The sequence below is a fragment of the Homo sapiens genome, chromosome 17, assembly GCF_000001405.40.
Source record: "Homo sapiens chromosome 17, GRCh38.p14 Primary Assembly".
In the NCBI taxonomy this organism is placed as follows: Eukaryota; Metazoa; Chordata; class Mammalia; order Primates; family Hominidae; genus Homo; species Homo sapiens.
Genome location: NC_000017.11, coordinates 56977546 through 56993788, shown reverse-complemented (window position 1 = coordinate 56993788; position 16243 = coordinate 56977546). Strand labels below are relative to the sequence as shown.

At 44.9% G+C, this 16243-nt stretch overlaps 1 protein-coding gene across 3 annotated transcripts in view, besides 1 other annotated feature; it reads right to left on the bottom strand.

Moving 5' to 3' along the window:
• Positions 1-15658, bottom strand: part of SCPEP1 (serine carboxypeptidase 1) — a 28638-nt gene extending 12980 nt beyond the window's left edge. For all 3 annotated transcript variants that reach the window (NM_021626.3, XM_005257557.4, XM_047436509.1), the window contains exons 1-6: positions 15554-15658; positions 12559-12707; positions 8322-8411; positions 5939-6094; positions 5499-5573; positions 2618-2690 (exon numbers count right to left, since the gene is read on the bottom strand). In NM_021626.3, coding sequence (NP_067639.1) covers positions 2618-2690; positions 5499-5573; positions 5939-6094; positions 8322-8411; positions 12559-12707; positions 15554-15629 — 619 coding nt within the window. In that variant the 5' untranslated portion in view covers positions 15630-15658. The remainder of the gene's footprint in view (positions 1-2617; positions 2691-5498; positions 5574-5938; positions 6095-8321; positions 8412-12558; positions 12708-15553) is intronic.
• Positions 15716-15775: a silencer, noted in NCBI's record as "silent region_8743". NCBI's record gives its function as "represses an Ori minimal core promoter by ATAC-STARR-seq in GM12878 lymphoblastoid cells {active_cell/tissue: GM12878}" and the evidence as "EXISTENCE:reporter gene assay evidence [ECO:0000049][PMID:35858748]".

Here is a 16243-nt window from a genome sequence, read left to right as displayed (position 1 = left end):
TACAGCCTCCAAACAGCCATAGACAGTAAATTAACTTTTACCGGCTGGGTGCGGTGGCTCACGCCTGTAATCCCAGCACTTTGGGAGGCCGAGGTGGGCAGATCACCTGAGGTCAGGAGTTGGAGACCAGCCTGGCCAACATGGTGAAACCCCATCTCTACTAAAAATACCAAAAACATTAGCCAGGCGTAGTGGTGGGCACCTGTAATCCCAGCTATTCAGGAGGCTGAGACAGGAGAATTGCTTAAACCTGGGAGGCGGAGGTTGCAGTGAGCCGAGATCGTGCCACTGCACTCCAGTCTGGGCAACAAGAGCAAAACTCCATCTCAAAACAAACAAACAAAAACAAACAAACAACAAAAACTTATTTACCAGAGCAGGCGGCAGGGCAGACTTGACTCATGGGCCCTTGTTTACCAATCTTTGAAGTAGGCCTGCATTGTTCAATAGAACTTTCTACAGTAATGGAAGTGTTCTGTATCTGTGCAGTCCAAAATGCTAGCTAATAGCCACATGTGTCTATGGAGCACTTGGGTGTAGAGAGTGCCCCTGAAAAAATGAAATTGTATTTAAAAATTATAATTAAATTTATATAGTCACATGTGGCAAGTGGTTACCATACTGACATGGTCACATGGGCTTAGTGACAGTGCAGATCAAGACCTTCTTGAAGATCAGGAGCTTATCTGTGTATCTTTTCCTAGCACCTAGAACAGTATCTACTACCTAGCAAGCAATTAACAATTGTTCATGGAAATTAACAATACTTCTCCCTCAAAAACCAATGTTTCTGGGATAGAGGGGCAATACTTAAAGTGGATCTGGAAGGATGGATTACGATCCAGACAAACAGATTCATAAGGTAAAGTGGGTCACGGCAAGGAGAAAAAGGTAGATTCCAAACACAATGAATAACACTTGCAAAGCCAGGAAGCGAAACGTACTGATCTTGGAGAGACAATGTAGCAAGGTGGTTAGGTTGCTTGGATTCCAGTACCTGCTGCCTGGATTTGAATCCCAGTTCTACCATTTAGCTAGGTGACTCTAAGAAAGTTGCTTAACCTCTCTAAGTCTCAGTTTCATCATTTACAAAATTAGGATAATGATAGCATCCATCCCATGGAGTTGTTGTAAGGATTACATGAAGTTAGCACATGTAAAGTACTTAGTGCTACTGTGAAACTGAGGAGACCCCATGAGGAAGTGAGAGGGCCAGCATCATAATTTTGAGTCATAAACAACTCTTATCTGTGTTCCCAGTGAGGATGCTCAGTTATGAAACAGCACACCTCTGGGTTGCAAGACCTGATGGAGACTTTGTCTTGCCATCAACATGAACAAAAGAGCAGTATCTGACAAGAAACTCTCATGCTTCTCTAAGCTTCTGCAGTTTTATGATGTCCTACGAGATCCATCCAGGAAGGAAAGACAGATAAACGAATAGCAGCCCTCCTCTTCATGCTGACTCAGTTTTATGCTACTTCAGTCCTACCCTGCAGATGGCAAACATGAGGGCAAGAAATACTATTCCAAGTCGTAATGGTTATTGGGAATATGGCTCTGTAACAAGCAAATCCCTATCTTTTAGGGGTAAATATTACCTTTTATAAATGATTATTTTTAAAAAACTGAGCCATAATCACAAATCACAAGTGTACCTTCAGAAGAGTTTTGATGAATGCATATGCCCGTGTAACCACCCCCTGCAATCAAGATATATTTCCCTCATGTACCTTTCCTGCTTATTTCCCTCCTTTGCCCCTAGGCAGCCTCTCTTCTGATTTCTAACTCGATAGTTTGGTTTTGCCTGGGGAAATCACGTTTTGTTAGGTTAGAACAATGGTTCTCAATCAGGGATGGTTTTGTTCCCCAGGGAGACATTTCTGGTTGTCACACTGGAGCGGTGCTACTAGCATCTCCTGAGTAGAGGCCAAGGATGCTGCTGATAATATCCTACAATGCACAGGACAGCCTCCCACAAAAAGAACTATATGACCCACAATGTCAACAGTGCTGAGAAACCCTGTGTTAGAGTGAACGCCACCAGGATGATTGTTTCAGATGTCTGGGGCCACACCCTGGGTGTCTGCAACATAAACAACTCTTATTTATGCTCGCAACACGGATGCTCAATTACAAAACTGCACACTTCTGAGTTGCAAGACCAGACGATAACCTTGTCTTGCCATCAATATGCGTAACAGACGGGAATTTTACCCCAAACACTTATGTCAGCATCAGGGAAGTAGAGGGGGCAGGATGACAAAACAGATTTGCCTTTGTACTGAGCAGCACAGACCTGGATTTGAATCCTGACTAGGCCACTCATCCTACGTGGCAGATAGCACATTTCTTGACCTCTCTGAGTCTTCAGAATGCCTCCAATTGTAAAATTTGATCCTTTTGTTGTGATAATTAAATTAAGAAAACTCAGTTCAGCCCTTAGTGGTCCATGGTAGGCACTCTGTCTCTATATTTCTTGGATGTAGCAAACACTTTCTCTAAGGGCCCAGAACATTCTCCTGCTTAGCTCTTTGATCTGGACAACACAGCCCAAAGTCCCAGGAAAGGATGGGCAAAAGGGGAGTGAAAAAATGCCTGAAAATGCCACACTTACCAACAGGGGAGATCCAGGAATCACCCAAGGCAACCCCCGCAAAGTTGCACTTGATGGTCCCTCGCTGAATGGCCTGAAAGAGGAAACAAGAAACGTCCTCAGGCCAGGTGCAGTGGCTCACGCAGTAATCCCAACACTTTGGGAAGCTTAGGCAGGAGGATCGCTTGAGCCTAGGAATACAAGACCAGCCTAGGCAATGTAGTGAGACCCCCATCTCTACAAAAAGTTAAAAAATCAGTGGGACATGGTGGTATGTGCCTTATAGTCCCAGATACCCAGGATGCTGAGGTCAGAGGATCACTTGACCCCAGGAGGTCGAGGCTAGCCTGGGCAGCATGGCAAAACCCCATCTCTACAAAAAAATACAAAAATTAGCCAGGCACGGTAGTGCTCGTCTGTAGTCCCAGTTACTCGGGAGGCTGAGGCAGGAGGATACTTGAGCCCAGGAGGCAGAGGCTGGAGTGAGCCATGATCATGCTACTGTACTCCAGCCTCTAGTCTGGGCAACACAGCAAGATCCTGTCTCAAAAAGAAAAAGTCTGAATATTTGAGATGAAAATTTACAGAAATAGAAAGTTGAGAACTACTGATTGAAGAAAGCAGGCTGAAACCAGTATGTATAATATGATCTCATTCAGCTAAACAATTCTATATAAATGTGCACAAAAATATTTAGAAAGCTATATACCCAGATGCTAACTATAGTGATCTCCATCAGGTGGGAAGGTGAAGTTTTCATTTTTAATTTATGCTTGTTACAGTTTCCAATATTCTATAATGTACATATGCTGTTTCTATAAGTTTTTTAAATTAATAAATCTTAAAAAAAACCCTTATTTAAGCTCACTGATATTCAAACATAGGAGATAGAAGGAAATGTGAAAGTCTTTTACTTTGTCTCATTTGTGCCCTCACACTCACCAACTGACTGCAGTTAAGTGTGTCATGTATCCTTCTAACCCTTTTGTTTGCCGTCACAGCATACAAATCTATCTCCACATATGGAAGTGTTTTTGACTTACAAACAAAGTTATCTCATATCGTTCCACAACTAAATACCCAAAGGAGAACTTTCCACACTCAGTATATATAGCTCTCTGTATTCTTTCTTTTTTCTTTCTTGTAGAGACAGGGGTCTCACTATGTTGTCCAGGCTGGTCTCTAACTCCTGATCTCAAGCAATCCTCCTACCTCAGCCTCCCAAAGTGCTAAGATCCATTCTTTTTTTTTTTGAGAAAGAGTCTCGCTCTGTCACCCAGACTAGAGGCGCAATCTCAGCTCACTGCAACCTCTGCTCCCTGGGTTCAAGCAGTTCTCCTGCCTCAGCCTCCCTAGTAGCTGGGATTACAGGCGTGCACTACCATGCCCAGCTAATTTTTGTATTTTTAGTAGAGATGGGGTTTCACCATGTTGGCTAGGCTGCTCTCCAACTCCTAACCTCAAGCGATCTGCCGGCCTCGGCCTCCCAAAGTGCTGGGATTACAGGCATGAGCCACCGCGCCCGCCTGGATCCATTCTTTATGCTGGCTGCAAAGGGTTTCATCTTGGAAAGATATACCTACTTTATTTAAGCAATCCTCTACTGACAGCCAACCAGCTGTTTTCAGTTTATAAACATTATAAACAATGGCATAATAAACATTCTCTGACATATACATATGTATAAGTATTCCCATAGGACAAAATTATTGGGTGAAATGACACATATCTTTAAAAAATTGACATTGTCAAATTGTCCTTTTAAATTTAAATTAATTTGTATTCCCATCAAAAGTGCACGACAGCACTTATTTCCCTGACTTCTTACCAAAACTGGGTGTTATCAGTCTTTTAAATATTTACAAATCTCATGGACTTGGCTTACTAATAAAAGCTGAAGATTTTTCTTATGTCTAAAGGCTGTTTATATTTCTTCTACAAATTGCTTGTCCACATTTTTCTACTAGGACATTGGTTTTGGTTTTTGTTTTCATTTTTTTCCTGAGACACAGTCTTGTTCTGTCACCCAGGCTGGAGTGCAGTGCCATGATCACAGCTCACTGCAGCTTCAACTCCTTGAGCTCAAGCGATCCTCCCACCTCATCCTCCCAGGTAGCTGGGATTACAGCCAGGAGCCACTGTGCCCAGCTTATTATTTTTTTTTTTTTTGTAGAAACAGGGTGTCGCTATGTTGCCCAGGCTGGTCTGGAACTCCTGGTCACAAGCAGTCCTCCTGCCTGGGCTTCCCAAAGTGCTGGGATTATAGGCGTGGGCCACTGCATTCTGTCCTAATTTTTATTTTTATGTTTAGATTTTAATCCATCCAGAATTAATATTTTATACAAGGCAAGAATACAAGTTTTCTATTTTCCAAAGTGATAGGTATTTGTCTCCATTATTTTTATTTTTATGTTTAGATTTTAATCCATCCAGAATTAATATTTTATACAAGGCAGGAATACAAGTTTTCTATTTTCCAAAGTGATAGGTATTTGTCTCCATAACATTTATCGACATTATATCCATGCCCCAATGATTTGAAACGTTATCTTATATTTATATATGATCATATATATTTATATAAAATACAAATATATGATACACATACATATATATGTGTGTGTGTTTCTGGATTCTGTATCCTGTTGCAATTAACCTATTTGTCTATTGCTATGTTAGTACCACATTCTTTTACTCACTCATGCTTTATATCTTGTTCCAGATCTAGCAGGGCAATCTTCATTCTTCTTTTAAAAACTTTTTATGGTTATTACTACAGATTTAATCGTACTCTGCATGTACATGGCCCTATTCAAAGTATATTTAATAGCACGTGAGTACATAAAAGTAACATAATTGATTTTCTGTCCAAAACCATAACAACAAAGTTATTTTCCATTACCTTATAAAGCTCTAGACCAATGCCAGCTGCCATTTTTCCTCCATAGGACTCTGAGAAAATGTAGAATGGAACTGTCTAGCAAGAAAAGGAATTACACAGAATTAACTACCTTGATTGCTTTTTGAGTCACACAAATTAATTTCAAATTTCTATTGCACGTAATGACCAGAAAAAACAAATCTGCTTTGTCTTCCTCCCCCACCACTCCATATCTGATTATTGCGTCTGATTAGAATGCTCACTCCAAGGTCATTCTTTCAAGTTAAATATCAACTTTAGAGATGACAGAAACAAAAGTCCACAACCCAATCTTGGGAATTAAAAAGTTTTCTCTGAAATCAGCTAGGCATTAAACTCTGGAGGCAGTTCAGGTTTATGCTGATGGATGTAGAGTTGATATTGCCAGCCCTTTACTTAGCTGTTCCTGAGTCTTTGCTTACCTGGAATTCTTTGTGGCAACTGAAGAAGGTCTTCAGGAGAACCATCATGTCTGAAGCCACCATAGCCAGGTCCTTGGCATAGGCACCACTACCATTCACATAACTGAACCCAGTGCCCACGGGATTATCCACAAATAGGAGACTGGCAGCCTGGAGCTATGTACCACGGAGGAAAACGAAATGTTGCAATCAGACATTTGGTCACCAATCATCTTTGGATCATTTTCTACTAGCTCAGCAAAACCCACACATGTGAGGATACCAGCGTGGTGATGATATCCCTGTTGCTAAAAGAGATTTTTAAAAATAAGGGACAGGAACATAGAAAAAAAAACAAAAACAAAGAAAGGCCAACCGCCCCCGCCGCCGCAAAAAAAAAAAAAGGGAGAGGCAGGAAGGAAAGATTAACACACACGGGGATCAAATAATCTGGGCTGTTGCTTTTCATACAATACAAATGTACTAAATGTAATAAACTAGCGCAGAAAGAAGCATGCAGAGACAGTCTATGCACTAACTCGAAGAAGCCAGAGGACACTCAAAGTCTGGACACACATCAGTTTTCTTGGAAATGCATCAAATTTCCACATTGTCCTGGCTTCTCTGTACACTGCAAGAGCAGAATTTATTCTAATACCTTTTCCAAAGAGGTTGAAAGTTATAAAATTTACATATAAAAGATCCTGAATAATGACACAGTCCAGCCATGTCCCTTGCTGATGAGGAAATTAAAGCCCAGAAAGAGCCCAGAATGTGCCTAAGGTCACAAGATCGGACAGGCAGTGGCAGCATCAGGACTGGGACCATGGTCCTCACTCATATGGCCCTTTTAGTTCTAGGAGGCTTGGGGACAATGGGGGTGGGGAGTGGAGGTAGGGGATGACTCTACAACCACTCCTGGAAGTGAGACTTCTGTTGGAACCAAGCACAGGAAAGGCCCAGGCCAAGAGGACAGCATGTACAAAGACCCTGAGGCAAGAGTAGGAAGCACTTAAGAAAGACCAGAGGCCGCGCACGGTGGCTCACGCCTGTAATCCCAGCACTTTGGGAGGCTGAGGTGGGAGGATCACGAGGTCAGGAGATCGAGACCATCCTGGCTAACATGGTGAAATCCCACCTCTACTAAAAATACAAAAAATTAGCCAGGCGCAGTGGCGGGCGCCTGTAGTCCCAGCTACTCAGGAGGCTGAGGCAGGAGAATGGTGTGAACCCGGGAGGCGGAGCTTGCAGCGAGCCGAGATAGCGCCACTGCACTCTGGCCTGGGCGAAAGAGCGAGACTCTGTCTCAAAAACAAAAAAACAGAAAAAAAAAAACAAAGAAAGACCAGAAAGTGGCCGGGCACAGTGGCTCACACCTGTAATCCCAGCACTTTGGGAAGCTGAGGCAGGTGGATCACGAGGTCAAGAGTTTAAGACCAGCCTGACCAGCATGGTAAAACCCCGTCTCTCCTAAAAATACAAAAATTAGCCGGGCGTGCTGGCGCATGCCTATAATCCCAGCTACTCGGGAGGCTGAGGCAGGAGAATCGCTTGAATCCAGGAGGCAGAGGTTGCAGTGAGCTGAGATCGTGCCACTGCACTCTAGCCTTGGTGACGGAGGGACATTCCATTTCCAAAAAAAAAAAAAAAGAGCAGAAAGCTTAGCTTCTAATGCGAGAGGGAGGCTGGAGGAGGAGCACTGAGGAAAGTGGAGAACATTCATAGCAATAGGTGCAGCCGGGAGAGTGGGAGCACAGAGAGAGGAACAGCCACAAGCCCTGAGTGGGGCCCACGCTGTGCAGCAGCCCCAGGGTGGGTGTGCAGTTCTGCCCATGGGCAGCCTGGGCGTAAGGGCTAAGCAGGTGGACAGTGGGAGTGACCCAAGGCTGGGTTTGGCAAGGCTGTAAAGGGAGAAGGATATGGGAGTTGACCACAGAGGGGTGAGGGAAGGAAGAGACGATAAGAATGAGGGGGAGGTGTGAGAAGGGCAGCAAGAGAGACATTGAAAGGGGAAGTCAAGATACAAGTAGGAGGATAGGAGAGAGAGAAAAGGACTGGGGGCTGTGGCTGGAGGGTGCAACCATGGTGTCTGAGGCCGCGGAGATGGCCAGCGTGCATAACACAGGGTCCCAGGTGTCTGCTGTAGTAGGTTTTTGAAGGCAGCTGGAGAGAGGGGTTGTTTTGGAGAAGGCGAGGCAGACTGGTGCAAGATAAGCTGTCCTGAGAAATGGGAGAGAAGCTAGGCCAGAGAGGAAGCCTGCGGACAAGTGCCCATGGCCTCAGTAGTCACAGGAAAAGGAAAAGGACAGCGAGGGATTGCTACATTTGTGGCCCCTCCCAGAGTTGGGCAGGGCCTCTGAGAGGCCACGGGGCAAGGTTTAGCTCAGGACTGTCCTCACTGTACCCAGGTGGTTTTCCGTGGTTTGAGATCACTGTCAAGGGGCCCAATTTCCTCAAAGTTTCCAAATCCAGTGCTAGAACCGCCTGGACCGCCCTATGGAAGAGAGAAGAAACAAACAAAAATTTTAGTCAGATCTTAGTCTTTACAATGAATGACCACATTTGCTATAGATGGTTTATGAGTTAGTGATGGCTGGGTCAATTTGCACAAAAGACACAATTTCTCTAGTGAACCAGGGACTTCCACATTAGCAAAGCTCCCCTAGTAACTGCTGAGGTTTTTCTCTGAAAGGAGCAGAGCTGAGCTAAGAGGTCCACAATGGAATGTTCCTGACTCCTGATTTTTTCTTTTCTTTTCTTTTCTTTTCAGACAGAGTCTAACTTTGTCACCCAGGTTGGAGTGCAGTGGTGCAATCTCGGCTCACCACAGCTTCTACCTCTGGGGTTCAAGTGATCCTCCCGCCTCAGCCCCCTCAAGTAGTTGGAACTATAGGCGCACACCACCATGCCCAGCCCGGCTAATTTTTGTATTTTTTGTAGAGGTGAGGTTTCACCATGTTGCCCAGGCTGGTCTCAAACTCCTGGGCTCAAGCAATCCTCCCGCCTCAGCCTCCCAAAGTGCTGGGATTACAGGTGTGAGCCATCACACCCAGCTGCCTCCTGATTTTCTGAGCTGGAGCCTTGGCCTGCCGTAGGCCTTGCTGACCTGAAGGAGCTCTAACCGGACTAGACACTGGGCCTTCTGACTCTTCCTCCATCACCCTCTCCCCAGGAGATGGGAGACTCTTCAGAGTCCCTGTGGATTGATAAGGGACCCAGACTTAGAAGCAGTTTGATCAAGCAGATTCTGTGGATATAATGCAGCAGTTTCTAAAGTCCCAGGGCAGGGAGAGTTTGATACTGTGAGCATCCATGGGAGAGGGAAAGGCAGGATTCTGAACCACAGCTCGGTGTTGGGGGCAGTTCTATGGGCTCTGAGGGCTTCAGAGAAAAAAGAAACTAAGAGGCAAATAGGACAGGTTGGGTGGGCTTTCTAATTGAGACAAGAGGAGGCTCTTTGGGAGGTGGTCAGGGGAAAAGATGGTCAGTGCTTTTTCTGGACAAATCCAGGGGCCAATTGAGGTGGGGAGTCTATGAGAAGGGCCCTGTCAGCTGAGGCGAGGGAAAGGGCAGAGGACCTAGAATAAAAGGATATGGCCTCTCTGTGCACTAGCAGGATGGGTAGGAAAGGGAGATATGAAAAGACGAAATGGGGACCGGGTGCGGTGGCTCACGCCTGTAATCCCAGCACTTTGGGAGGCCAAGGCAGGCAGATCACTTGAAGTCAGGAGTTCGAGAGGAGTTCAAGTCCTCCCTGGCCAACATGGTGAAACCTTGCGTCTACTAAGAACAGGAAATTAGCCGGGTGTGGTGCGTGCGCCTGTAGTCCCAGCTACTCGGGGGGCTGAGGCACGAGAATCACTTGAACCCAAAAAGTGGAGGTTTCAGTGAGCCGAGACTGCGCCACTGCACTCCAGCCTGGGTGACAGAGCGAGACCTCATCTCAAAAAAGAAAAAGAAAAAAAAGATGAAAGGGAATACCTTGGGCAAAACAAAAGCCAGGGCAATTTGTGTAGGGAAATCTAAAGAAAAAAAAAAAAAAGACAAGATAGAGTCAGGGCTAAAGGGTAACTAGCAACGGCAAGAGGGCCCCAAAAGGGAAAGACTTTACAACACTAATGTTTTGAACCTGGACCAACCTAACTCTGATAAAATTGGAAGGCTATACATCCCCCTGATCATATGCCCTTTGTATCTTAAGATTTCCTAAGCAGTAAAAAGTTCACAAACCAGATGAAGATGTTAACCGCAGTCCTATTAAAAATAACAGAAGTAAGGGTGCAACTCAAACGTCCCCCAAATAGGGGAACAGGTTAGGCAACCATACCACATCTACTGCATGGAATGCTACACTGCCACTTAGAATCATGAACTACGAAAAATGATGTGGCAACATTGAAAAATATTTATAATGCAATATGCAATAAATTAAAGCCAGGGATCTACCCTCCAATGAAAGCTGGGTTCCTTTTTCCTAATGGACTTATTAGGATGAGGTAGGATCAAAGCAAAAGGAGAAAAGCTGGAAATCCTAGGGGTTGGGTCTTTGTGGGAGAAATCTCAGTTCTCCTCTGCTTCTGGTATGCCAGGGAGACAGCAGAAGATGACCTCTCCCTCTCCTCTCTCCTCATTCCCCTCTCCTCAAAAGGCAATGAGATGCTGGATGGAGGAAGCCTCTGTTCTACGTGAATATATCCTATTGTAAAACCTCTTTTTTGTCTAGAACTTTGGGATAGGGTGCTAGCATGGCCCAGGGCTATCCAGAAACTCTGAGACACAGTCAGTGTGTCAGTGGACCAAGTGAAACGCTTCGAAGACTTGAAAGTGTCCCTAACATAGTTTGCTAACCCACTCAGAAGACATGACTTCGATTCTCAAAGATTCCCCCGAGAGAAGTCAGCACCATGTCCTCAGTAGGCTGCTAAAATAGATCTCCTTTTCATCTAAATTAGTTATTTCTTCTGTAAGCATAATCTTTCTTCTTCTCTCTTGGGTCTCTGGGTAAGTGAAGAGCAATTTATTCTCTTCAGTTGATAAACTTCAAAGGAGAAGCCTCAGCCTCAGCACTTGTGCTTTTGTCTGCTTTGTCTCCCCTTTGTAAGCTTTCATTTGGGGGTAAAAAAAAAAAAGAAAAGTTCTGCTGATGAACAAAAAGTTTGAAAACCACCAAAATCTCCCAGATTAGACAGCCAAGGCCCAGAGGAGGAAGTATCTTGCCATGGCTCTAAGTGGCAGGTAGGCACTGAAAACCCGAGGCCCCTGACGGCAGGCCTGAGCTTGTCCACGGCCTGGCTCTCCCTGCCAATTGTGCCGCACCTTTGTCTCCAGCCACCGGAGGTGAACAGGGCTCCCCAGGCTGACATACAAGGGTTCTTTTTCTGCATTATCATAACCGCACCTGGGGCTGAGCCTCAGCTCTAGCCCTCAGAGGTGGCACAAGTGATAATTCCAAAAGAGAAAGGCCCCTCCCTGAAAACTGCTCATTTTCGCTCTATCTCACCAGAAAGTCTGCATCGACCATCCTGGGAGGCAAAACCCAGGTGGTGGGAGGCTGCTTATAAATACCAGCATTGTTGGAAGACGTCCCAGTAGCATCCTATGGAGGTGAGCACCAGGGTCCCTATTTACTGATGAGGGGCCCAGGGTTCCAGCTGGGCCATGCCTACATTTTCCAGAGGCAAGACCATGTTCCTTAATTCCTCCCTGGTGGGTGGTCTTCCGGGTGGGGGTGGGCCATCTCTGGACAGATATTTCAGAAATGCCAGAAAAGAGCCTCTGCCTGTCCCTACAAATCTTTCAACCAGCTCCCTGCCTTCCATCCTACAATCAGAGCTCAAGGTTAAAATGCAAACACACTCAGGGAAAGGGGGAAGGCGCAACAGTCACACGAAGGTGCAGAAGGCTTGTAGCAGTCCCTTCAAAAGATCAGGTTTTCTGGGGGTAAGAAGTTAGGGTTCAGGAAAGGATTGTATGGAGAGGAAGGGAGGGTCAGGCTACCTCAGGTCTTTGCTTTGGAACCTTCCATAACACTTTCTTTTCTTTTTTCTTTTGAGATAGGGTCTTGCTCTGTCGCCCAGGCTGGAGCGCAGTGGCACGATCTCAGCTCACTGCTACCTCCGCCTCCCGGGTCCAAGCAATTCTCATGCCTCAACCATCTGAGTAGCTGGGATTATAGGTATGTGCTACCATGCCTGGATAATTTTTGTATTAAATATTTTTAGTAGAGACAGCGTTTCACTATGTCGGCCAGCCTGGTCTCGAACTCCTGGCCTCGTATGATCCACCCACCTCGGCCTCCCAAAGTTCTGGGATTACAGACATGAGCCACTGTGCCCGGCCTCAAAACACTTTCTATCACTATGTATTCAAATGTATCATCAGGAGTTTTCAGTGAGCCTTCTTGTGACCGTCTGGAAATATAAAGAGACTCTGGCAAAAGGCTAGAACCCCCTCGCCCTCTGATTTAGCCTCCTTGGCTATACCATTGCCTCAGCCTACCTCAGAAGCACGCCGAACCCCCAGGTCACACTGCTGGACCAAATCCGCCCTTCACTGCTGAGACATCAGCCCAAAAAGCAAGCAAAGAGCCACACAGAGGAGACTTGGCTTTGACCTCAGGCCAGGCTGGGAAGCTACTTTACCTGAAGCCACATGACCAGGGGCAGTTCTGAGAAGTTCTTGCAGGAGTTGGTGGCATAATAGAGCCACCAGAACATGTAGGCATCCTTGCGGACCGTCACATAATCCCATACTTCCTTGCCCTCCTCTGTGGGCCAGTCAATGACAGCTCCTGAAACAGAAGTTCAATTTCACTCTCCAGAAGAGTGCCTAATGTACAGGTAAATTCCAAGCCTGGTAGAGACAGCCATGCTAGGCTAGAGATGATTTGTTTTATAGTTTGGTAATTTAGCCACCCCAGTACATTGCAGGAATAAGGAAAAAACCTCGGCTATGAAAAAAGAAACCAAACTTAACAGCGGCATAGGAGGCCAGGGGCTTTCACTTTTTCCTCTACACTTTTCTGTAATGTTTGGATTTTTAACAATAAATATGAAACACTTTTTTTTTTTTTTTTTTTTTTTTGATACGAAGTCTCGCTCTTGTTGCCCAGGCTGGAATGCAATGGCGCAATCTCGGCTCACCGCAACCTCTGCCTTCCGGGTTCAAGCGATTCTCCTGCCTCAGCCTTCCAAGTAGCTAGGATTACAGGCATGCACCACCACGCCTGGCTAATTTTGTATTTTTAGTAGAGATGGGGTTTCTCCATGTTGGTCAGGCTGGTCTCGCACTCCTGACCTCAGGTGATCTGCCCGCCTAGGCCTACCAAAGTGCTGGGATTACAGGAAATACTTTTATAATTCTGTAAAAACAAGAGAGATTTATATTTTGAGTAAAAAAGTAAAAATCTCAGAATGCAATATACTGGTTTTTATATCGTATTTAATACATGAGTAAGACACCAGGCTTGGTGGCTCACTCCTGTAATCCCAACACTTTGGAAGGCCAAGACAGGCTGATAGCTTGTGCATAGGAGTTCAAAACCAGTCTAAGCAACATAGCAACACCCCATCTCTACAAAAAATGCAAAAATTAGCTGGGCATTGTGGCATATGCCTGTGGTCCCAGCTACTCAGGAGACAGAGGTAGGAGAATCGCTTGAGCCCAGTAGGTTGAGGCTGCAGTGAGCTGTGATCACACCAGTGCACTCCAGCCTAGGTGACAGAGGGAGATCCTATCTCAAAAAAACAAAAAACCAACCAACCAAACAAACAAAAAACATGAGTGAAGAGGCATCACAAATTAGTGGGGCTGAGAATATTCAATATACAGTAATGGAGCAACAATTACCTTTTTTGGAGAAAAAAAGAGAAATTTAGGTCCTCTCAACACTATAAACGAAATAAGTTCCATGAGGATCAAGCAATTAAATTTTAAACTTTAAACATTAAAAAAATACAAAAATATAGTTAAATATATTTCTAATGTCTGGATGAGGAAAGAATCTAAGCAAACCCCAGAGACTGTACAAAAGAAACAATGATGGAGGTGAGAACAGAAACTTGTTATATTTCTATACAACAAAATTTCTGTAAATCAAAAATAAAAAGGCAAACAGCAAGGAAAGAGCTACAACAAATATGAAAAAGGGCAATTTTCCTAACTCATGTAGATGATTTTTTTAAACTGAACGATATATATCTGTGTATGTGTGTTTAATATACGTATCCTATAATCCCCTAACTCCAATTTTCCTTACTTAACTTTTCTAGCATCCACAAAATATGTTTTAGAAAAGAGTAGGCTAAATACATTTTCTTTGTCACTTTTTGCTAACGTAACAATTTCCAAGTTATAGCATCTTTTTTTTTTTCCTCCAAAACCACTCTGGGAAAAAAAAAAGTAGAGGGGCTGTTGTTAAAAGATGATGGGGGGGATCCCCTCGGTGACTGGAGTTTTCTGCCTTCTATTTCCTCCCTTCTCAAATTTCAAGCCCCATTGGTCAGTAAAAGAACACTGGTCCCAACAGCTAAAGAGACAGGAGTAGAGAGGAAGACAATGAGACAACGTCTTGTAAATAAGAAAGAGCCAGGGTGGTGGCCTGTGTCTGCAGTCCGGGCTACTTGGGATGCTGAAGTAGGAAGATCACTTGAGTCAGGCAGTTCCAGACCAGCCTGGGCAACATAGTGAGACCCTGACTCAAAACAAAACAACAATGAAGATTAAGAAAACCAGAAAGTGTCCTGAGGAGCAAAACAGATGACTAAAACATTACAGACTTAGCTATAAGGTTCTATATACAAGTAACACACGATTATATTGTCCTTGACAATAACAGATAAGGCTGCGCTCCCTTGAGAATGACAGATAAGGCGCAGGTACCTTTTGACCTAACCCCAGGCACTTCTCCCTTGCCTGGCAGTGACTACTGGTAAAATTGGCAGAGCTACTTATTTTACAAAATCTCCCAGACACTCGCCTAAGGGCCAGATGATCCCCATTTTAGAAAAGGAAAACAAAACTGTTCAACAACTTGCCTAAGGTCACAAGGCAAGCTTGTGGCCAGTTCCAATTCTCAGTGCTTGCTTCAGACTAGGAGAGGTTTTGCTGAAAATCAATTTGCAAGTCATCCTATTAAACACAAATCTGTTTTTTGCCAAAAAAGATCGCTGTGGGGGAAGATGTTATCTTGTTTGTTTTGATCAAGAAAAGAAAGGGCCTTATCTCAATGAAATGTCCCATTCGTGGTAGGATGTAAGGGTACTTTTGACCGCAGATTTCAGCTTAAAATAAAACGACCTTATATCCTCATTTAGCAGCCAATCATGGCCTTTGAATCGGGGAAACCTCATTGACCAGCAGTTTCCCCAAATCATACATTTCTGCACACAGCTTCTATCTAGGCGTAGGAGAGAACGGAAGCACTCAGACCACCCAGAGCCAGAAAAGGACAAAAAAAGCACTTTGAATTTTTTAAGGAAAAAAAAAAAAAAGAGTGAGATTCAAAAGCAATATAATTACACAAGGTAAGAACCGGGGAAAAGAGACATGTTTTCAAAAGCACAAACCCAGTAACAAACTCTCACGCCTGGAGAAAAAAGAGGCATGGCAGCTGGTGCGCCTCTTGCTTGAACCTACCTGCGTTCAGGCCCAGCAGCAGCGGCAGCAGCAGCAACCACCGCGGGACGGGAGAGCGCCGCAGTGCCAGCTCCATGACAAGTACCGCACGGCAGCATCAGCAACAGGCTGGACCCGGCGCCCCATCACGTGACGGAGGCGGACGGGGCGGGTCGGGGGCGGGGCCTGCGGGTCGGGGGCGGGGCCTGAATGGGCATGGGGCGGGGCCTGGGCGGACCCGGCAGCTTGCTGAGACCCGCACGCCCTCTGCCCGGCAAGCCCACCAGGACCCCTGCAAATGCGCAGGGGCCGTTCTGTCCGCCTGGCCAGGTTCTCTGTCATTTTAGGGAGAGTATTTCGGAAAGGAGACATTTGATGCAGATGTTGGATTTAGGTTGTGTGACCGGATCGAAATACTAAAGGGAATAACCACCGCCCTTTCTACCCCTCCCATCTCTTCCTTCCCTCAGCAAAAGAACCGACGTTTTCCAACACTGCTACATCTGCGAAGTCAGATTAAGCCAGCTGGTCGTTGGCAAACAGCGGGGTTTCATTTTCAGATATGTATTTTTTAAATTATTTTTCTTTTAAAGTTATGTATGTTATAAACGTTTTGGAAATATGAACAAAAAAGTTATACATAACTATTGTTGGCATTTTTTCCCATAGTCTTTTACGTCATTTTAAAAAACACTAATAAAGATTTTTATT